General features: G+C 38.8%; 1 protein-coding gene across 4 annotated transcripts in view, besides 2 other annotated features; it reads left to right on the forward strand.

Annotated features, from left to right (window-relative positions):
- Positions 3923-4123: a silencer, noted in NCBI's record as "peak299 fragment used in MPRA reporter construct". NCBI's record gives its function as "represses an SCP1 promoter by STARR-seq MPRAs in K562 erythroleukemia cells {active_cell/tissue: K562}" and the evidence as "EXISTENCE:reporter gene assay evidence [ECO:0000049][PMID:32103011]".
- Positions 14782-14971: a silencer, noted in NCBI's record as "silent region_1018". NCBI's record gives its function as "represses an Ori minimal core promoter by ATAC-STARR-seq in GM12878 lymphoblastoid cells {active_cell/tissue: GM12878}" and the evidence as "EXISTENCE:reporter gene assay evidence [ECO:0000049][PMID:35858748]".
- Positions 14928-23404, forward strand: part of SAMD13 (sterile alpha motif domain containing 13) — a 52261-nt gene continuing 43784 nt past the window's right edge. The window contains exons 1-2 of one of the 4 annotated variants that reach the window (XM_017000377.3): positions 14928-16034; positions 19593-19677. In XM_017000377.3, the coding sequence (XP_016855866.1) occupies positions 16007-16034; positions 19593-19677 (113 nt within the window). In that variant the 5' untranslated portion in view covers positions 14928-16006. Of the gene's footprint in view, positions 16035-18097; positions 18192-19040; positions 19081-19592; positions 19678-23404 lie in introns of those variants that run through there. The other 3 variants (NM_001010971.3, NM_001134663.2, NM_001134664.2) reach the window with 3 other exon arrangements.

Genomic DNA, 23404 nt, shown 5'->3' on the forward strand with positions numbered 1-23404 from the left:
GTCTCTTCAGTTATTGCCTCATCCTCTCCTCTGTTATTGCCTCTTAAAAAACTTTGGTTACAGACATTGAAGCGTTTCACTCTATCCTCCAAGTCCCTCAGCCTCTCTGTCATATTTTCCAGCTTCTGTCTCCTTGTGCTGCATTCTGTGTAAGGTCTTCCAGTCTATAATTGCCACTCTCTAATTCTCTCTTCGGCTGTGGTCTTGTCTACTGTTAATTCTTCCACTGAGTTTTTAATTCCAATCTGTTTATTTTTTATTTATAAGTTCTATTTTGTTCTTTTTCAGATATGATAGACATTTTTATGGTCTTTTTCTTCTTCCTTGCATTTATATTTCTATTATATATTTTACTTTTAAATTTATCCTTGCATTTAAAAGATTTATATATTTTATTACTCATGTTAAGTTCTTCAGAGTAGGAGAAGTCCCCTCTCTATATTTTTACTTGTATTTTTATTATTTCAGATTGTTTATACCTTGGGATATAAGGAACATATCCCTCGGTCCTTCCCTGTCCCTAGATGCCTGATTCCTTTAGGATACCCACTATTTTAAGTAAACCAATATCACCTTATATTTGCTGTTTAATATATCTTTCCCTTGTCAGTGAGCTTGTCTTCAACTGGTCATCCTTCTACAAAAAACTTCATTATTTTAATTCAGAAGGTTTATGATTCTTTCTAATGCTCAGAGACCTGCCCCTCTTTCCATATTTCTAGACTGCTGCTGTATTTTGGAGAATGTCCAAAAGTTTGACCTTTGGATAAAGGGATGAGGCTGTACAAATTTTGCTTCTTAATACCATCTGCCTAGGAATAAAAACCTCTAGATAGGAAGAAATAAAGGAAGGAAGAAAAGAAGACAACTTTTGGAAAAATCTGTAAATCTAAGAGGGCATGGAATACAGGACATATCCTGTATTCCAGTGATGACTTTTCAATGACTAGCGGTGGTTTCCACAGAGAATTCGGTTTCCTTATCCATACTTTGCTATAAATCTTGGCATATCAACTACCTAAAATTATCATGCATTTCTAACCGATTTATAGCTAATAATATATGTCACTCCAATTCTTATAGTAAGTATAGGTATCACCCATTTTGTAAACTTTCTAAACTAAATCATCTCAGTAATGTTCATTTATTACATATGATAAAACAGATCCCACACTGAGGAAGAAGAAAAGAAAGAAGAAGAAGAAGGAGGGGAAGGAGGGGAAGGAGAAGAAGGAGAAGAAGTCAGAAGAAGAAGAAGGAGGAGGAGGAAGAGGAGGAGGAGGAAGAAGAGGAAGAAGAAGAAGAAGAAGAGGAAGAAGAAGCAGCAGCAATAACCCTGGACTTGTTTTAAAGTATACACTTGGCCCTTCCCCACATGTAGTGTGATGACTAACAGCCCAAGTGTGAACCTCAGGTGTCCCAATGTTCTCAAGGATGTCAACCTTAGCAATATTTGCAGGTTTAAAATTTAAAGCATATGGATCTATCCTCAATATCAGCACATAAAACTTACTTTAGTCACTTATCAAACTTTCTACTGTCCAGCACATACCAAATCTTGATTGAGAGAGCTAACATTTATAAAACATTGTTGACTGAAATGCAGTTTATCTGTATTAGTTTCCTAAGGCTGCTGTAATAAAGTACCACAAACTGGGTGGCTTAAAACAACAGAAATTTATTCTCTCCCAGTCTGAAGGCCAGAATTCTGAAATAAAGGGGCTGGCAGGGCAGCACTCCCTCTGAAGCTTCTCGAGGAAGATCTCTCCTTGCCTCTTCCAGCTTCTTGTAGCCCCTGGTCTTCCTTTCCTTGTGGCAGCACAACTTCAATTCCTGCTTCTGTCTTCCCTCTGTGTCTCTCTGTCTTCACATGGCATTCTTTTATTTATCTCTCCTTTTTTACAAGGACACCAGTCTTGCTGGATTAGTGTCCACCCTACTCCAATATGGACTAATTTTAACTAATTACATATGTTATGACTCTATTTCCAAATAAGGTCACGTTCTGAGGTTCTGGGGGTTATATCTTTTTGAGGAAAATGATTCAATCCATTAACACTATCTGTTCTTCCAGAGATATTTTATCTTCCAAATAAGCCTGGATCCTACTGTCTTAGAAATACAGGAATTGACTTTCTCTGGGCTGTGTTTTGATGCCATGTTTTCACCTTTTACCAAGCAGAGCAAGAAGAAATGACTTAATGAATGGAACTATTGAATTCACTAAATAAAATTCACTAAGAATCATGCCTAATTTGATTTTTTTTTAGAAGTAAGTGTTAAATTTTTCCCCCTGAATAACTGTTAGGTTTTCTTTTAGAGTCAATGAGAATCATATATCTAATTACACGTTTCTTCTTGATTTGGTTGTCAGGAAGCTTAAACATCTCACTGTAAGTTAATTTTAATAACTTTGTAGGATGCTACAGCTACATATCTTCATTTTTTTCTTCTCCTCTTGTGTTGGTATTTTCTTTCTGATGTTAGTTTTTTAAATTGCTTTTTATATTATTACAATTCCCTCCCAATGCTTTGTGGAAAAAAGTGGGTAATAAGTAGGAAAAAAAAAAAGTATGAATCTCTTCCTGAGTCTCTTCCTCATTCATAGCAAATTTTCCTCCTGACCCAGCTCATCCATCACTGAGTGACTAACCAAACATTATAAGCCATCAACATTAGTGCTCCAGCTTACATTATAAGTGGATGATTCAAACACTACTCAGGTAAACAGAGGGAAAAGCAGGAAAATCACTCCCTTTATTCTTAAGCAAATCAACTAGATCTCATCGACTTCCTTCAAAGAGTTTAGGTAGTTTTTTTTTTTAATCTAGAAAAAAAAAATCACAGAACCCATGCAACAGTAAAAATAAGAGAAATCTAGAAAAGCAGAGGAATCAAATGAGAAGAAATTAAATAACTGAAAATCACATTAAAAGTACCAAGGAAGAGAATTTAAACGGCAGAAAATTGGACATGAAGAGGAAGCTATTGAAGAAAATAATCACATGGAATTTGGTGGAAAATGACATGGAATGAAGGTGATCAGAAAGAAGATGAAAGTTGTAGACCATGGACAATGGAGAACTAAAACATGAGTGACTTTTATCTTTGAAGATGTGAATGAGCAAATGGAAATGAAAAATTACACAATAGAAGAATGTTATGAACTAAAGTAAGTTTTCAAATTGAATTTTGAAAAGGCTCACCATATTCCAATCAAATTTAATAAAAGCTTTCTTTCTAGAACTTTAAGGACTAAAAGAAATAGAATCCTATAGTCATCTAGGCAGAAGGAAAAAGGTCATCTTCATAAACAAAGGAATCAGGCATATTCTAAGCAATGTTAAATGTTAGAAGAAAATGGAGCAATGGCTAACAAACATAGGAAGAAAAAACATTCCATATCTGTTGCAGGAAGTCAGGGACCCTGAATGAAGGGACCAGCTGAAGCCATGGCAGAAGAACATAAACTGTGAAGATTTCATGGACATTTATTCATTCTCCAAATTAATACTTTTATAATTTCTTATGCCTGTCTTTACTGCAATCGCTGAACATAAATTGTGAAGATTTCTTGGACATTTATCACTTCCCCAGTCAATACTCTTATAATTTCCTAGGCCTGTCTTTATTTTAATCTCTTAATGCTGTCATCTTCGTAAACTGAGGATGTATGTCGCCTCAGGATCCTGTGATGATTGCGTTATCTGCACAAATTGTTTGTAGAGCATGTGTGTTTGAACAATATGAAATCTGGGCATCCAAAAGGACCAGCATGGCTGCGATTTTCAGGGAACAAGGGAGATAACCACTGGGCCTGACTGCCTGCTGGGCCAGACAGAACAGAGTCATATTTCTCTTCTTACAAAAGTGAATAGGAGAAATATGTCTGAATTCTTTCTCTCAGCAAGGAACAGCTCTGAGAAAGAGAATGCATTCCTAGGGGGAGGTCTCTAAAATGGCCACTCTGGGAGTGTCTGTCTTATACAGTTGTAGATAAGGGATGAAATAAGCCCCGGTCTCCTGCAGTGCCCTCAGGCTTATTAGGATTAGGAAATTCCTGCCTAGTAAATTTTAGTCAGACCAGTTGTCTGCTCTCAAAACTTGTCTCCTGATAAGATGTTATCAATGACAATGCGTGCCCAGTGGGACATGAAACTTCATCAGCAATTCTAATTTCTCCCTGGTCCTGTGATCTCACTCTGCCCCCATTTGCCTTGTGATATTTTATTGCCCTTGAAGCATGTGATCTCTGTGACCCATACTCTATTTGTACCCCGCTCCCCTTTTGAAATCCATAATAAAAACTTGCTGGTTTTTTGGCTTGGGGGCATCACGGAACCTGATGACCTGTGATGTAACCCCCGGACACCCAGCTTTAAAATTTCTCTCTTTTGTGCTCTTTCCCTTTATTTCTTAGACCGGCCGACACTTAGGGAAAATAGAAAAGAACCTACATTGAAATATTGGGGGCTGGTTCCCCCGATACTTATCTGGTCTAACCACCTTCATGTGTAATCATGACAGAAATAAATTCTCAAATATGCAAGAATTCAAGAAAAATAGCATTTATGCACCTCTGAAAAATCTGTCAGGAAAAAAAATTAAGACAATAAACAGATAAGTAACCATAAAATAAAATTCATGAATGAGAAAGTCATGATGTACAAAAGGTTAAGCCGTGAGCTTTAAGTCTACTACACATATTTAAGTAATTGGCATTTTAAGTCATAAAATTAAATATAGTTGTTTTAATACTAAAAAAATACATAATATAAATCATAATATTTTGATGACAATAGACTGGAACAAGAATCATATTTGCTTTCCAAACTAAGAGGTGGGAAGAGAAAAGAGAGAAGTTAAGTAGACTGATTTCATCATTTCATCATCATTGCATTTCTAAAGTTAATTGAAAAATAAAAATGTAAGCATATTATTTAAAACAGACTTTACAACTCCCCAATTGCTAGAGTGTGGCAGGTAGCCTTCTTAAACAGCTCCCAATTGTCCCCACTTCCTGGCATTCATGCCTTTGTGTTAGTCTAGACCTAATGACTTGCCCTTACCAAAAAGAATGTGGCAAAAGTGATAGGATTTCCCTTCTGAAGTTGGGCTATAGAAGGCTAGGACTTCTGTCTTGCTTACACTCTTACTCTGACTTTTCCCCACATATCACTTGTTTTGATAAAGCCAGCTGCCATGTTGTGAGCTACCCTATGGAGAAGCCCATGTGACAAAAACTGAGGACTTCAGTTGAGCAGCCCATAAGGAACCAAATCCTGCCTCCAACCATATAGGTAAGAAAGCAGATCCTCCCCAAATCTAGCCTTCAGGAGAGAAGAGCCCTGTCCATTACCTTGATTGCAGCCGTGTGAGAGACCCTGAAGCAGAGGATTCAACTAAGCCACACCAGGACTCCTGACCCACAGAAAGTGTGAGATAATAAGTGTGTGTTGTTAGAAGCTGCTAAGTTTTGGGGTAGTTTGTTACACAGCAATAAATAACTAATGACAAATATTTTCCTTGACCAGACTAGCTCTTCTCCTCTAAGCCCTCTTCTTGGTAAGGTATCAGTCTTGGCCTATAAAGACTTGTACAAAAACTAACATACTTTCTTTTTTTTTTTTTTTTAAGAACTTTCTCTCCTCCACCATTTCAAGGCCACATCACTAGGTTGACATTAGCTCCTTTTAAAGTGCCTCACTAAGAAAGCTCAAGAATGCCAAATAACTTACTATTTGTTTGAGCCAACACCTGGCAGTATGCCCTGACCACCCTTTCTTAGAACATTTACTAAAAAGGGCTTGCAACTGTGACTCCTTCCTCTGTCTCTTTGAGATGTACATGTATCTCCTACAACTCAGGGGTGTCTTTCTCAAGGACCCAAAAGCCATTTATTTGAAATACAATCAAGAAGAATAGGGCCCCTGTCTCCCAGTCTGTAGGAAGATAGAATCCTAGTGTTTGTAACTATCACCTACCAGAAACAGCTGGCGTTACCACTTTGTGATGTGAACCCTTTGTTATGTTTCACTTCTCTGACTCTCCTGAGCCCTCATTCACCCCCGTCCTACTCCTATTTTAGTTGGTCATCTCTATACAAATCAGAGTTCAGTTCATGCTGGATGCTTATCTCTATTCTCTGATTACTCTATTGTAGATTGTCTCTATTACTTACTGATTAAAGTCTGTCCTTGCCACTTTAGAGTCCAGCTTTGTTAATCTTTGATACTAAAATATAGAGGAAGATAAAAATAAAACCAAGACAAAACAAAAGCAAAGAAAGTACAGATTGTAAAGCCAAAGAGAAAAAAAGAACAATGTGAATTCAAAAAATAAACACATGATCGAGATAAGGTTAAACATATCTAATTCAAATAATTTCAAGTGGGATAGAATAAGCTATTAAAAAGCTTGGAACAAAGCTTTTTAATACATGGAACAAAGAAAGTCACTTTGTAATGGCAAATGACACAGCTCACAATAAATAAATTATTAGTATAAATGCTTATGTATCAAATAACAGCATTAAAATACATAAAGCAAAACTTCAAGAAATAAGAAAACAACAAGATAAATGTTAGGAGGCTTTAACAAATTTCTTTTTATTCTTGAATAATCAAGAAAAATTAGATATTATATGGAAGATGTGAATAACAATTATCGAAAAGATTGATGCAATAATATCTGTTATGTAATAGAAGCTCAACAAATTTTTATTTATTATTTAACCTGAGAGCCTGCAAAGAAAAAATACTCATATTTTAGGTACTCACACGATATGGTTTGGATGTGTTTCCCTGCCCAAATCTCATGTTGAATTATAATCCTCAATGTTGGAAGTGGGGCCTGGTGATAGGTGATTGAATCATGGGAGTGGATTTCTCTTTAATAGTTTTACATCATCCCCTTGGTACTGTCCTCACAATAGTGAATGAGTCCTGGTGAGATCTAGCTGTTTAAAAGTGTGGCACCCACTCTCTCTTGCTTCTGCTCTGGCGATGTGAGGTGCCTGCTGCTCCTTCGCCTTCTGCTGTGATTTTACTTCCAGAGGCATCCCCAGAAGCCAAGCAGATGCCAGCATCATGCTTTGCTTCCAAAAAGCCTGCAGAACCATGGGCCAATTAAACCTCTTTCCTTTATAAATTACTCAGTCTCAGGTATTTCTTTACAGCAATGAAAGAATGGATTAATACCTCATGTAACATTTACAAAAAGAAGTCACAAGCACAGGATAAAAATTTAGACAATATATATCATTTAACAGGGATTATTTTAGGAATGGGTTTATTGGGAATTTTCACTTTCTATTTTAAGTTTCTGATTGCTTTAATTTTTTTTATCATACAGTGTATTTTCACAATAAATAAAAATAATCTTTAAATAATGTTATACCCCCTTTTCTCTTTAGAATTTCCCTCAATATTACTAAATCATTCCATTTGCTTTCTTTCTTTTCTTTTTTTATTTTTTTGAGTTGGAGTCTCGCTCTGTCGCCCAGGCTGGAGTGCAATGGCATGATCCCAGCTCACTGTAACCTCTACCTCCTGGGTTCAAGTAATTCTCCTGCCTCAGCCTCCTGAGTAGCTGGGATTACAGGTGCCTGCCACCACGCCCGGCTAATTTTTGTATTTTAGTAGAGACAGGGTTTCACCACATTGGCCAGGCTGTTCTCGAACTCCTGGCCTCAAGTGATCTGCCTGCCTCAGTCTCCTAAAGTGCTGGGATTACAGGCATGAGCCACTGCGCCTGGCCTCTTTCTTTTCTTATAGGAAGAAACTATGCCACTTTTCTTCCAAAGATCAACAATCAATAGTTCCTTCTTCTCTAGGAAAATATTACATCAGTTACACCCTCTGTTCTGAATTTTCACATTTCTGCATCTAGTGGCTTCTTCACTTCACTGTACAAACACAGTTGTCTGCTATCCCCAATCTTAGAGCATCCTTCCACATTAAGGACCAAACCTTCTCCTGCCCTTCTTTGCCAAAATTCCCCATTTGCCAAATTTCTCAAAATTTCTCCATTTCCAGAATTTTAAGTCTACCTCAGTCTGTGTTCTAGAATATACTTTATTGAATCATCATTGTTTCTGGGCCTTTGTGCTTAGAGTAATTACCAGCTTGCCCCAATCCTCAACTGCATCAAAAGGGCTAAGTCCATCAAAAAGGTCAAGAGCAGAGGTAGAGAGGACTACTCACTCTGAACAAGTCAGCCTGCTCCTGACAGGAGTGATGAATAAGCGTTGGCCTAGGAACTGAGTCCTCCTCTCCCCAGGCCTTCAACATTCCATCAACGTGGATCAAGAGTCCACCTGATTCTCAGCTCCATCCAGAGTCAGGGAACTCAAACATTCATCAATACCCCCCACACTCACAACCTCTTCACCATTTTATTTCTTGCCTTCTCTGGGACTGATTTCATTATACCCTTTATCCCTGTTTATGTGAGTCACCACAAGAAGTCCTAGACTACTAGGTCATCCCCCAAGTCCCATTCCTATAAGGCCCTGAACATACTTTAATGTATCTCCATCTTCCGTCCCTCCCAAACCCCTGAAACTCTTCCAATATGCCCTATAGAATTCTTGATTTCTTTTCCACATCCACACCATCACTTTTCGTTGCTACCACTCTAGTTCAAGCCACTAATATTTCTTGCCTGGATTACTACAATAGCATCTTGCCTAGTCTGCTTCCACCATTGCCTGTTAAGATTTATCCTTGATAGAGCAGCCAGAATAATCCTTTAAACCTATGCCTGACCATGTCACTCTTCCGCTCTGAACTCTCCAACAGCTGCCCATTTCATTCAGAGTGAAAGCTGAAATTTCTTGCAATGCCCACAAGCCCTACATTATTTGTTTCCAGCCCCGGGGTTTTCCTGTCCTCCTTCTACTTGACCCCTGCCCATATCCAACCACACTGGCATCCTTGCTATTTCTTTTCTCAGAAATCCACAAGGCCATTCTCTTACCAACTCCAGATCTTTCCTTGATTATCACCTTCTCAATGAAGTTTACCCTGATCATTATATTTAACATTTCAACCCACACCCTCTCCTGCACTCCCAACTGCCTTTATCCTCCTTTTATTTTTCACAGCATTTATAACTTTCTAATAGAGAATTTACTTATTTTGTTTATGTTTATTATTTATCATCTGCCTCTCCCACATTACAATATTAACTCCAAAAGGGCAATAAACTTTTTCTGTTTCATATATTGATGTATCTCAAGTACCCAGAATGAGTAGGGACTCCAGAGATGTTTATTGACTGAAGGAATAAATAGCTCTCCATCTTGTCAATCTTAATGATCCCTTTTCATAACAAATATGAAACAATATGCTTTTTACCATTGTGAAGTAGAAGCCATAAGCTACCTACCTATGTAATTTTCTAAAATTAAAGCAATACCTTAACTATAATATAAAGTACAAAATAAAGTAATTTACCATAAAATATTGCATGATCCACCAGGCGCGGTGGCTCACACCTGTAATCCCAGCACTTTGGGAGGCCAAGGCAGGTGATTTGCCTGAGGTCAGGAGTTCAAGACCAGCCTGGCCAACATGGTGAAACCCCGTCTCTACTCAAAATACAAAAATTAGGTGGGCGTGGTGGCAGGCACCCATAATCCCAGCTACTCGGGAGGCTGAGGCAGGAGAACTGCTGAACTCAGGAGGCAGAGGTTGCAGTGAGCTGAGATAGCGTTATTGCACTCCAGCCTGGATGACAAGAGTGAGACTTCGTCTCAAAAAAAAAAAAAATAATAATAATAATAATAAAACTGCATGATCCAACATGCAACTGCTCAAGCATCCCTAAGCTAAAAGACACAATAAAGTAGTCAGATACTTGTTCCATATGCAGAATCACCATGAAAGAGACAGCCACAAAATGAACTGTATTGGTGATTCAAATTCCATAAATGATATTGCCATCCAATTTACAACATTCCAGGAAAATTTGATATAACTTAAAACTGTGTGGAAAACAATTTATGTTTATATATAAAATAGATTCTAGGCTCAGATAATTATAAACAGATTTTTCACCTACATAAATGAGCTGAGCAGTGGGACAACTAAGTCACACAGGATGCAGGACAATTCTTCGCTCTGCGCGACTGTCCTGGTCAATGGAAGATGTCTAGAATCTTTGACCCCACCAACTATATTCCAGTAGTGCCCCACTCCCTCATATGGTTTGGCTCTGTGTCTCCAACCAAATCTCATCTCAAATTGTAATCTCCATGTGTCAAGGGAGGCAGGTGATTGGATCATGCAGGCAGTTTCCCCCAGGCTCTTCTCATGATAGTGAGTGAGTTCTCATGAGATCTTATGGTTTTATAACTTTGGAAGTTCCTCCTTCACAGCACTTCTCTCTTTCCTGCCATGTTGTGAAGAGAGTGCCTGCTTCCCCTACCTCCATGATTGTAAGTTTCCTGAGGCCTCCCCAGCCATGTGGAACTGTGAGTCGATTAAACCTTTTTATAAATTACTCAGTCTTGGGTATTTCTTTATAGCAGTGTGAAAACGCACTAATACACTCCCCAATCACTGGGACAAGCAAAATCACTCTGGTAAATTTCAAAAAAAAAACCCTGGAAGCAGTTCAATCCCAATAGTTTCTTGATCTATAAATCCAGAGGCCTCTTTTCTGTTGTCATTGGCTACCTCTCTAGAGCATATGACCTGTTAAGAAGCTGCTCCTCATCTCTCCATCCTCCCTTGCACCCCATGTTACTACACCCCTGCAGCTTTCCTTTCCTCCTTAACCAATTCCTGCCTGGTATTATTATCTGACTTCCCACCTCCCCATGCCCATGCCTGCTGTCCTCCCTTTTTCCTCTTCACATGCTCTTCAACTTCCTCTCCTAAGTAATTGACTCTCAAAGTCCCATTTCTACATGAAAAATCCAAATCCACATTTCCAACTTCCACTTGGTCATTCACACAGATAAACCCTTAAGTTATGCATGTCCAAAATCAAACTGCAGGCCCCTCGGGAACATTGTGGGCTCAGTTCTAGACCACTGCAATAAAGCAAGTCACACACATTTTTTTGTTTCCCAGTGCATATAAATGTTTACACTATATTGTAGTATATTCAGTATGCAATGGCATTATATCTTTTAAAAAGTGCATATCTTAATTTAAAAATACTTTATTGCTTAAAAAATGCTAACGATCTTAAAGCCTTTAGCAAGTTGTAATCTGTTTGCTGGTGGAGGGTCTTGCTTCAATGTTGATGGCTGGTAACTCATTAGGGTAGTCGGTTGCTGATGGTTGGCGTGGCTGTGGCAATTTCTTAAGATAACAGTAAAGTTTGCCACATCAATTGACTCTTCCCTTAATGAAAGATTTCCCTGTAGCATGTGATGCTACTGAACAGCATTTTAACCACAGTAAAACTTCTTTCAGAATTGCAGTCAATCCTCTAAAACCCTGATGCTGCTTTATCAGCTATGTTTATGAAATATTCTAAATTCTCTGTTGTCACTTGAACAATGTTCATAGCATATTCACCAGGAATAGTTTCCATCTCAAGAAACCACTTTATTTGCTCAATCATAAGAAGCACCTCCTCATCCATTCAAGTTTGATCATGAGATTGCAGCAATTCAGTCATATCTTCATGCACCACTTCCAATTCTATTTCTCTTGCTATTTCTATCACATCTGCAGGGACTTCATCCACTGAAGTCTTGAACCCCTCAAAGTTATCCATGAGGCTTGGAATCAGCTTCTTCCAAACTCATGTTAATGTTATATTTTGACCTCCTCTCATGAATTATGAACGTTCTTAATGGCATATAAGATGATGAATCCTTTCCAGAAGGCTTTCAATTATGATGCCCAGCTCCATCAGAGGAATCATTATCTATGGATGCTATAGACTTATAAAAAGGATTTCTTAAATAATAAGAATTGAGAGTCAGATTTGCTGCTTGATCCATGGGCTACAGAATGGATGTTTTACTAGCTGGCATGAAAACAACATTCATCTTCTTGTACATCTCCATCAGAGTTCTTGGCTGAACAGGTGTATTGTCAATGAGCACTAATATTTTGAAAGGAATCTTTTTTTGTGAGTAGTAGTTCTCAACAGTAGGCTTAAAATTTTCAGAAAATCATGTTGTAAACAGATATGCTGTCACCCAGGCCTTTTTGTCTCATCTATAAAGCACAAGTAAAGTCAATTTAGCATAATTCTTGAGGGCCCTAGAATTTTCATAATGGTAAATGAAAATTGGCTTCAACTTAAGATCACTGGGTGCATTAGCCCCTAATAAGCCTGTCCTTTGAAGCTTTGAAGTTAGGCTTTGACTTTTCTCTGGCTAGAAAAATCTTACATGGCATCTTCTTCCAATAGAAGGCTATTAAGTCTACATTGATAAACTGCTGATTATTGTAGCCACCTCCATCTACCTTTGCTAGATCTTCCGGATAACGTGTTACAGCTTCTCCATCAGCACTTGCTTCTTCACCTTGTACTTCATTGTTATGCTTCTTTTCTTAAACCTCGTTTAAGAAATCAAACTCTGCTAGCTTCAAACTTTTCTACAGTTTCCTTACCTCTCCACCCTTGAGTTAGGGCCTTGCTCTGGATTAGGCTTTGGCTTAAAGGAATGTTGGGGCTGGTTTGATCCTCTATGCAGACCGCTAAAACTTTCTCCATATCAGGAATAAGACTGTTTCACTTTCTTATCATTCAGGTATGCGTTAGAACAGCATTTTTAATTTCCTTCAAGAACTTTTTGTTTGCATTCACAATTTGGCTAACTGTTTGGCACCGGACGTCTAACTTTTGCTTATCTGGATTTCTGACATGCCTTCCTCACTAAGTTTATCATTTCTAGCTTTTGATTTGAAGTGAGAGAAGTATGACTCTTCCTTTCACTTGAACACTTAGAGGCCATGGTAAGGATATTAATTGGCCGAATTTCAATATTGTTGTGTCTCAGGGAATAGGGAGGAGCAGGAGAGGGAGAGAGGAGGGGAACAGCTGGTAAGTGGAGCAGTCAGAACACACACAACATTTATAGATTAATGGGCATGGTCTGTGGCACCCTAAAACAATTACAATCGTAACATCAAAGATCAGTGATCACAGATCACCACAACAGATACAATAAAAATGAAAAACTTTCAAATATTATGAGAATGCCCAAAATGTGACACAGAGACATGAAGTGAGCACATACTGCTGGAAAAATTGCACTAATAGACTTGTTCAACACAGGGTTACCAAAAACTGTCAATTTGTAAAATAAACAACAACAACAACAACAAAAACACATTGTCTGTGAACTGCAATAAAGCAAAGCACAATAAAATGAGGAAAGCCAGTGGTCATCTTCCTCCAAAACCTGTTTTTCCATCAGTTGTATCTATTTATGAAAATGACAACATCATCTACTTAATCTAGAAATAACAACCAATTTGATTCTTTTTCTTCCTTCCCCACATCCAATTGATTGTACTCTGTTTTCCCTATCTCATATGGCAACATAGTTGCCTTTCTGTCAATGTAGTTCAAGCTATCATTGCCAGTAGCTTAGAGTATTGTCACAGCCTCCTAACTGGTACTTCCACTCCAATTTATTTTTTGATACTAACACAAAGAGAATTTCTGCAGATAATAATAGTAAATAACATTAATTGCCTAGCATATGCCCAGCACTATACTATGTGCTTCCTGTCTCTTTTTAATAGGCACAGCCACATGATAAAGTCAGAACTTTTTTTTTTTTAATTTTACAGATGAGGCAAAAGAGGTTTGGGGAGGTTAAAGAACTTACCTAAGGTAACAGAGATAGCTCAGAAGTGACAACACCAGGAATCCAAGGTTTATCTGGCTTCTAAAAACCCTGTTTGTTTTTGCTTTCTTTGCTACTAGCCTGTTTGCAATCTTCAATGTCTATCCCTATCCCATCTGCCTTTTCCTTCTCCTTCCATTCTTCCAACCCATGAGTCCTTCTTTTGGTTTTACTTATTCCCTTAAATATTTACTTGTTTGTCATTTCAAGGAAGTCCGTCACAGCAGGCTCCTCTTCTTCTGCCGTGTCCACATCTGTCCTGATCCCTCTTTCTCTCCACTCTCTCTTCCCAGCTGCTAAGAGAGGCTGGAGAAAGAAACGAATAGACAGGATGGCTCCAACAACCTCTGCAGATGCAGATACACAAAAATCCCTGCATTGAGCCGAGATCGCGCTACTGCACTCCAGCCTGGGCGACAGAGCAAGACCCCGTCTCAAAAAACAAACAAACAAACAAACAAACAAAAAACTCCCTGCATCTTTAGCTTTTCTCTGACTAACTCTCAGAGTTGCTTTACGGTTCTTATATAATGAATCAATCAAGTACAAAGTGCTTTGTAAAGAGAGCTATAAAGCACCCTGCATGTGTAAGGTGCAACTAACTACTCACCCTCCTTTTACATGCTCAGGGCTTCAACTGAGTTATTCTGTGAGCAAGAATATTCTGTGTGCATCCAAGCAGAGAATGGCACATCTGTGTTCAAGGTGAAGGAAGAATAGAACCCTAAATAATATGAAGTTGGCCGAGAAAATCTCTACTTAACATTACTGCCAGAGTCCAGCTTAAAACTTCATTGGGGTTGTCATAAGCGAGTAAGACAGGAAGAAAATGGCATTAACCTAAAAAAACCTCACTTTAAAAATCTCTCTAGGAGGGTTCCCCTCCCCCCATCTTCCTGGAAGTTTTAAGTTTTTGCAAATATCCTCCCTTGTCCTGCCCAGATCTTGTCCCTTCTAGTACTGGCCTTCCCCATTCCTGGGGGCCCCCGCCCCTCCGACCCCCGCCGACCGGCGCTGGACTACAACTCCCGGCGTGCCGCGCGCGTCCGGCCGGCTGCACCGGGGCTTTGCGCGTGGCGGCCGCCGAGCTCCGCGCGGGGCAAACCTCCCGGCGCGGCCATGCGGGGAGGTAAGTGATCTGCCTGTGCGCCCAGGGCGTGGGAAGGCGCCCGCCCTCTCCTCTCTCCAGGATGAAAGGAAACGAAGAATGCCGCAATGAAAACCGCTCTGCCCTCCCAAAAACACATCTTGGCCGTGTGTCCGGTGCTCCTGCAGCTCGTTGCACCCACGGACGTGGGCTCTCACTGTGGAGTGGAGTGGGGGCAGAAGCGTGCCCTGCCCCACGGAGAGCCCCGGCTCGCCTGGGGCTGCTGGCAGTGCTCGGGGAGCGGGACGGGGTGGTGGCACGACTCGGCGGGGACCCCGAGAACGCCACACCTCCACCCTCCACTTTCCAAAGACCGGCTTCCCCGGGGAGCCCCCACACTAAACGCCAGCGAACTGCCTCTCCGTGAAAGTCTTAGCCAGAAACTTTCCCCGCTTTGTCGCCAGTGCCACAGAGAGTCGTGTGGCTCTGGGCCGGCGCTGCTGGTCCAAGAGGCAGCCTGGCGTCTTCTGCCCCTACCGTCCCCTTCTCAGGCCAGTTCTCACTTGCCCCTGAGACGCCATTCCCGGCTCGGTGAGGTCGGCCCTGCCCTCGGGCGACTTCAGGCTGGCTGCACCGGGGGTCGGATCCCGGGAGGCAGGGCCGGCGGCTCCTTTGGGACCGCGCTGGCTCCCTAGGCGAGTCCTTTCTGCCTGGGGGACGAATGCTGATCTAGAAAAGAAGCCAATCAAAGTCAACAGCTTCCCGCCCTTCCTAACCGCCTCCCCTCTCCCTATCTGAGCGCATTCCCAAGTGGGTCGACAGTTCTGCTCCAGAATACTGACACCAAAGTTATTTCAGCATATAATTTGGAGATTTCAGGATCTCTAAAGTTATTTCAGCATATCCCATAATGTGCTGGATCGGAAGGTCTTGTTTGGTTGCCTCTCCCCCTCACCCCCACACACCACATACACACACACCCCCACATACGTACCACACCCACACACAAAGTACACCACATAGTGCACACATCACACTCACATACTTTATGCTACATACTACACACACAACTTTTTATCAGCAGAGGATTGATGGCAAACAGTTTGTTGGAGGGAGTGTGTGAGTACTAGTGTATATATATATATATATATTTATTTATTTATTTATTTATATTCACAAGTGTCAGTTTACTACCAAAGTTAGAAACTAGCTGGTAAGTGAAACCTGTTGTCATAATTTAGAGTGTCTTTGTGGCTCACTTTTTATAAAACGGGATTAACTTCCTACAACACTTTCTGAAACTTTACTCTTGTGTAACAGGCAAACTTTTGATCACAGCAGGCCAGATGGGAGGGGATGTCCCTTTGTATATGCAGGAAGAGATGCTTGGAAAAACTTCACAGAATCCTTTCTCCTGTGGCTGTGTCTAAGGAAGAGCTGGGTGTAACTACAGTTTCTTTGCCTTTTCCCCGTCAAGAGTGGAGAGCTGAACATGCTTTTGTTCTGAGCAGCACTGTCAGGACAACCCCAGCTCCCCAAGACACAGAACTCCCAGTCCAACTCGCTTCCAATTTGGATTTACTGGGAGAATAGTTCAGGAATTTCAGATCAAGTCCAAAAGCGTTAAGGAATCTGTTAGTGAAAGAGCTCTTTATCTACATAAAAGTCCATCATTTTGAGATCAGCACTGGTGAAAGATCCACATGCCTGACCCATGCTCAAAAAATACTGCTCAAAAATATTTAATTGGTTCCTAGATTACTATTGTTTGCCTTTTCAAGGGAGCAATGGCAAATATTTGAAATCTTTCTTGGCACTGATCTTCAAGGAAGTCAAAAATTTCTAATATAATTCCTGGAATAAGTAAAGAACAAATTTTTTGACCTTGAAATTCAGGTTCCAAATTTAGATCAAAGGTAATCTCCTAATGTCCTAAAAGATTATTTTTAAAAAGGGAAGCAGGCAGCTTTTTCCTCAGATTCTACCTGAATTCTACAGGATATTACAGCAAGTGATAACTTTTTCCAGGATCTTTCTGGGGAACCTGTGTTCTGTGCCCTGTCTTGAGTGGTTTTGTTGACCATCTTGACCTAAAAGTGTCCAAATGTTGATTGATGTTTATTTCAATGAAGAGGCAACCATGTATGTTTTCTGTGTATGTGCAGAACATTAATGGGATGAGATTATTCTCCTGGAAAAGTGGTTTAAGCCAAGCAAGGGAACTGTGAGAATGACCAGGGTAACTTAAACAAAAGATCTTGCCCAGCCTCTCTGCTCCACCTCCCAGTTTTCTGATTTGGTATTTAGGATGATGGCGGGAGAGACTATGAATTTTGGGGTGGGCATAATGTCTTTCTATTCATATGTAACTAATATAGTACCGGGTACTCATAGATTGTAAGTGTTGGTTAAATTTCTTGAATTATGCTTTTTGTCCAACTGGGATAAACAGTTAAAATTAAACCTCCCAGAACTAATTGTTTTCGTTTTGTAGAATAAGGTTTTGTTTGTTTCAGTTTGAATTTTTGCTGGCTTCATTTGGCAGGATAAATGCCAAAATAAAAGAATGTGGGCGTTTTCAGGAGATCTGGTCATCTATTTTGCATCCTTTCCGAAATATGTTACTTCCTGCATAATGAAGTAAAAGGATTTGCTGCTGGGCAGTGCTTTCCTTATTCTCACAAAGAGATTACTTAAAAGCCAGCCCTGGGAACTTTGTCCATGAATCTCTATTAGGAAAAAAAGAGTAACATGGGACTGCAGCTTCCGAGTGTTCTCTGGTTATAGCCCATAAGCACTGGCTTCTCACTCTTATTTTTCCCTCTGGGGAGAAAAGGAAATAGTTTGAAACATGACATTCATGCTCAGAACAACAGCTAAGACCTATCATGCAGCAACAATGAAGGGGAGGGAGAAAATAAGAAGCTATTGAGACAGCTTGTTTTTCTTTGTACAAGACAGGTGCAGGGAGAATTCTGCAGGTTTTGGACTCCTTACTCATTTCTTGCACTAATTGTGCTGAAGGTAGTTAGCAAAAGTGAACAGGCACACTGTAGCTTTAAAAAGTCAGCCATGAACCAGAAGGCAGTTGGTGCAGCTTGTGTGTGATTCCTAACGTCATGTTGGCTGAGAGCCAGCCTGGTTTTATTTCACTGTGTCAAATTGTACCTCCTTATTGAATTCCTTTGCCAGCCTACTTTGTGAAAGAAAACATTGGGGTTTCTTTGGCTGTTCTTGATAAGCCTATAAAAAATGATATTTTTTAGTTGCTTATAGGTAGGTTTTCTTTTTACTCTTCCACAGAAAAGAAAATAATAGTAATAATAATAAGACAATGTAGTGTGGTGTTGCAGAGTATCATTGTGAGTGTTTTGTTTTGTTTTCTGAGATGCTTAGAAAATGGTGAATGTGTAACAGTTTCCAACTGAAGTGAAATCATATTCTGTTAGCATGGAGCAGCAGCACTATCTTCCTGTCTACTCTCTAACGGTGTGTGAATGTATGCTAATATCTATATATATATATTAAATGTTGGATTTCTCTATCAATGATCTAAGTGGTTTGCAGCTGGAAGTTTGTGTGTATGTGTGTGTTTCAGGAGTGAAAATTATCCCACACTTACAGTGTTATTTGTTAATCATCTACTTCTCTAACAGTGATAAAATCTTGCGAATATACTAAATGATGCACTTGCCATGTCAGAGTAATCCCTAGAGAAGGAGTGCCGAAGTATAAAGTGATTTGAGTGGAAATGTATTTAATTTATGGCTTCAGCTGAATAAGAGCAAACACGTTTCGGGACTGTTTCTTCCTTTTTTTTTTTTTTTTTTCTTAAAGCAGTTTTGTTCGTAGCTTTTTCATTTTGCTAATTGCATATTAATTGTGGAAGGCTTTTAATTTTCCACAGCCCTCATCCTACTAAACAAAAAGACAGAGTGATGGATGCTACAATATCTCCTTAAATGTTTTGATGATTTTTCATAAATCTAATGAGTTACCTACTCTTTCTTACACATACACACACACACACACACACACACACACACACACACCAGCACCACCTTTCTGTGCTAAGGGCTATCTGGCATTTTTTGTGAGCTTCCTGCTTTACCACAGCATGGCCATCTCACAGACGGGTTTTTGAGGCTTTCGTTGAGAATGTGAGGTAGGGGAATACTTGCTGACAAAAGCTTTAAGTGTCCTTCTGCATTGCAATGAAAAAATCTAGGAGCAAGGGGGAGTGGACAAAAAAAAAACCAAACACAATAAGAAAAAACAAATCAAAGCCCATAATGGGAGGGGGGCAGGAAAAGGGGGATTGTTTTTCTCTACTTTGACTCATTTATGAGTTGCAGTGTCTTAAGTGAGAGCTAGGCACCCAGAAGAAGCTGTGCCAGTTCACACAGCACTTGTTTTCAACGAGGATTCAATTTCATTTGCAAATGCTTATTGTCAAGGCAGGGAGTGCCAGTACAGATGAAAGCACCCCAATCCGTCTCCTCCAGTTCTTTAGGTTTAATCACATCTCTCCAATCGCCGAGGGAACTGGAGATTTAAACAAACATACGTGAACTGGTGTGAAGCTGTAAAAGGGACCATTATGTTTCCGATTCAGAATATATATTCTTCTCTCACTTTCTAAGAATTAAACACAAGCTTTTCTCCCTTATTGATTAGTTGCTGAAGTAAAGGAACCCTGCAGCCTTCCCATGCTATCTGTTGACATGGAAAACAAGGAAAATGGCTCTGTCGGTGTAAAAAAGTAAGTGAAGCTGGCTTCTGAGTTCTGCTTCTGCAAACAACAGAGGGACTTAGTTTCTATTTTCGTACTTCTTGCTTATCTACTACAATACACAGTTTGGGGGTCGCCTTGGTTTGTCTACACTGGCCAGCAGCCTCCCTTCTCCCCCCTACCCCAGTTACCTTTTTCTGTATTGCATTTCTAAGACAGAGATGACTCAGACATCAAAATATATATGAAAGGTTTGTGTATCAGGCTTTGGAACAAGGATGGTTGAGGATTTCAGCCCTGCATTCTGTATATTGAAACAAAAACTCCAAGCAGAGACTCTTCCATAGACAACACAGAATGGGGGCAGAAAATAGAGTTCAAATTTTTTTTTTGAAATACAATCACCTCTAACTCTGAAAACTAAGAGCTATAGTGCAGGAAGGGAAAAAGCTTCAGTAAGAATATAGTTTAACAACTCCTCCGTCCTAATTTTATGAACTGTTTAATGAATGTGAAACATTTCTGTGCATACATGGTGTTTATTTTAAAGTCTGTTCTCACATTTGAAACTTGTGTTTATATGTGTCATGTAAGAGTTATATATTTGATTATTTTAAATGGGAAAATTCAATTGCACATGTAACATAATATTTTGATATTTATGAGTATATGAAAAATGTATATTCTCACTTAGGAGTTATAGCAAAGCAATAAGTACTTTGATTACAAGGAGAAAGTGAGTTCCAAGAGGGAGTTATCTGTTTCATTTCTTTCCATATCATTTAGTTTAAAATTGCCGTCAACTTGAGCTTTGGAGGAAACTAATTAAATATAATCCATAGAAGCTGTGATATCTAAATGAGGAAACAGTGTGCTATATGTTTATGAATAGAAGGTATATTTTGCTTCACAGCAAAGTTACATTAAAACTAACTTAATAAAATCTGTTTTTTAAAGTTCTCGGGTAATTTATATATCAGTGCCATACTGCCATGCTGATTACCATCCCTAAAGTTTGGGGTAGGTAGGTGGAGGAGAAATGAAAGAAACAGATGCTGTTTTATGTGTGAGTTAGATCAGTGTTATCCAACAGTACTTTCAACAATGATGGAAATGTTCTGTATTTGTGCTGTCTAAAATGGTAGCCACTAGCCACATGTGGCTACGAAGAATATGAAATGTGACTAGTTTAAGTAAGAAACTGAACTTTTAATTTTACTTAATTGTAATTAGTTTTAAAATTAGCAGCTTTACTGAAGTATAATCCTTGCATAATAAATTGCATGTGTGTAAAGTAAGTTTTGATATTTTTATCCCCTCTTGAAACTACTGCCACAATTAAGATGACAAATATTTCCATCACTTCCAAAATTTCCTTACGACCTTTTGTAATCTCTCCCTCCTGTCCTTTTCTGCCCCCATATCCCCTGGCAACCACTGTTATGCTGTCATTATAAATTAGTTTGCTTCTTCTAGAATTTTATATAAATGAATGTGTATACATCCCCCGCCCCCACACACACACATATAGTTTCTGTCACTCAGCATAATTAATTTGGGATTTATCCATGTTATTGTGTATATCAATATATCATTACTTTTTAATTACTGAGTAATATTTCACTGTTTGGATCTACAACAATTTGTTTACTACCATCCAAATGATGATAGACATTTGAATTGTTTCTGTTTCTTAGGTATTATAAATAAAGCTGCTTTGATCATTTGCGTGCAGGTCTCTGTGTGGACATATGCTTTCATTTCTCTTTCATAATTACTTAGGAATGGAATTGGTTGGGCTCTATGGTGGGTGTCTGTTTAACTTTTTAAGAAACTGCCAAACTGTTTTCTAAACTGGTTGTCCCATTTTCATTTTCACTAGCAGTGTGTGGCATGTTCCAGTTGTTCCACATGCTCATGAGCTTAGTGTGATCAATCACTTTCATATTAGACATTATATCAGGTGTTTTATGTTTTCAGTTTTATTTCCCTAATGACTAATGATGTTGAGCATCTTTTCCTGTGCTTATTTGCCATTCATGTATCTTCCTAGATGAAGTATTGTTCAAATCTTTTGCCCATATTTGTATCGGGTTTTTTCATATTTATTGTATAGAGAGTTTTTATATATTATGAATATGTCCTTTATCATATATATTATTTGAAAATATTTTCTTTAAGTGTGTGACCTATCATTTCATTCTCTCCATAGCATCTTTCAAAGTATCAAAGTTTTTAAATTTTAATGAAGTCTAGTTTATCAATTTTTTTCTTTTATGGATAGTGCTTTTGGTGTCATATTTAAGAAATCTTGGCCTAATGCAAGGTTACAATTATTGTCTCCTCTGTTTTCTTTTAGAAGTTTCACAATTTTAGGTTTCAGGGTTTAGGACTATGGTTTTTGAGTTAATTTTTGTTTGTAGTGTGAGATAAGGGTTTGAAGGGTTGAAGTGCTTTGTGTGGTGGTGGTAGTGGTGCTATGGATATCCAATCTTTCCACCTCTGTTCAAACACTTCTGCAACTTTGCTGAAAAATAATTGATCACATATGTGCAGGCTTATTTCTGGGCTCTCTATTGTATTCCATTGATCTTTTTGCATATATTTATGCCAATATAACACTGTTTTGATAAATATAACTTGAAATCAGGTAGTGTTAGCAATCCAACTTTGTTTTTTTCAAGGTTGTTTTGCCTCTGTACATTTCCATATGAATTTTAGAATTAGCTTGTCAGTTTCCACCAAATTTTTTTTTGAAAATCTGTTGACATTTTGACTGGCATTGCATTGAATTATATATCAATTTGAAGAGAGTTGGTATTTTAACAATATTGTGTCTTCCAACAAATGAACACAGTATTTTTCTCCATTTGCTTATGTCTTCTTTAATTTCTCTCAGCAATGTTGTGTAGTTTTCACTGTGAAGATCTTGCACCTTTTTGCCAGTTGCATCCCTAATATTTCATGTTTTGGATGCTATTTTAAGTGGTATTGCTTTTTTAATTTGAATTTTCAATTATCTTAACATATACAAATACAATTGATTTTTTATATTGATGTTATATGCCACAACCTTGCTAAACTCACTTATTACTTCTAGTAGCTTTTTAGTAGATTACACCACATTTTGTAACATAGACAATTATGTCTTGTGAATAAAGACAGTTTTAATTCTTCCTTCCCAGTCTGAATGCCTTGTATTTCTTTCTCCTTTATTACACTGAGTAGAACCTTCAGTGAAAAGTTGAAAAAAGTGGTGAGCTGGGTATGGTGGCTAACACCTGTAATCCCAGTACTTTGGGAGGCCAAAGTGGGCAGATCACTTGAGATCAAGAGTTCGAGACTAGTCTGGCCAACATGTGAAACCCCATCTCTACTAAAAATACCAAAAAAAAAAAAAAAAAAAGAGAGAGAGAGAGAGAAATTAGCCAGGTGTGGTGTTACATGCCTGTAATCCCAGCTACTCAGGAGGCTGAGGCAGGAGAATCCCTTGAACTGGGGAAGCAGAGGTTGAAATGAGCCAAGATTGTGCCACTGCACTCCAGCCTGGGTGACAGTGAGACTCCGTCTCAAAATAATAATAATAATAATAATAATAAAATAAAATAAGAAAAAGTAAAGAAAAAGTGAAAACAGGCATCTTTTTGTTCCTCATCTTTTTCATATCTATGTTCTTCTGTATATATGTGTCTTTTTTTCTGTATACTTTTAGATATTCTCTTTATCATTGGTGTCTTAAGCAATTTGGTTATGAGAC

This window comes from Homo sapiens, chromosome 1, assembly GCF_000001405.40.
Source record: "Homo sapiens chromosome 1, GRCh38.p14 Primary Assembly".
Classification (NCBI taxonomy): Eukaryota; Metazoa; Chordata; class Mammalia; order Primates; family Hominidae; genus Homo; species Homo sapiens.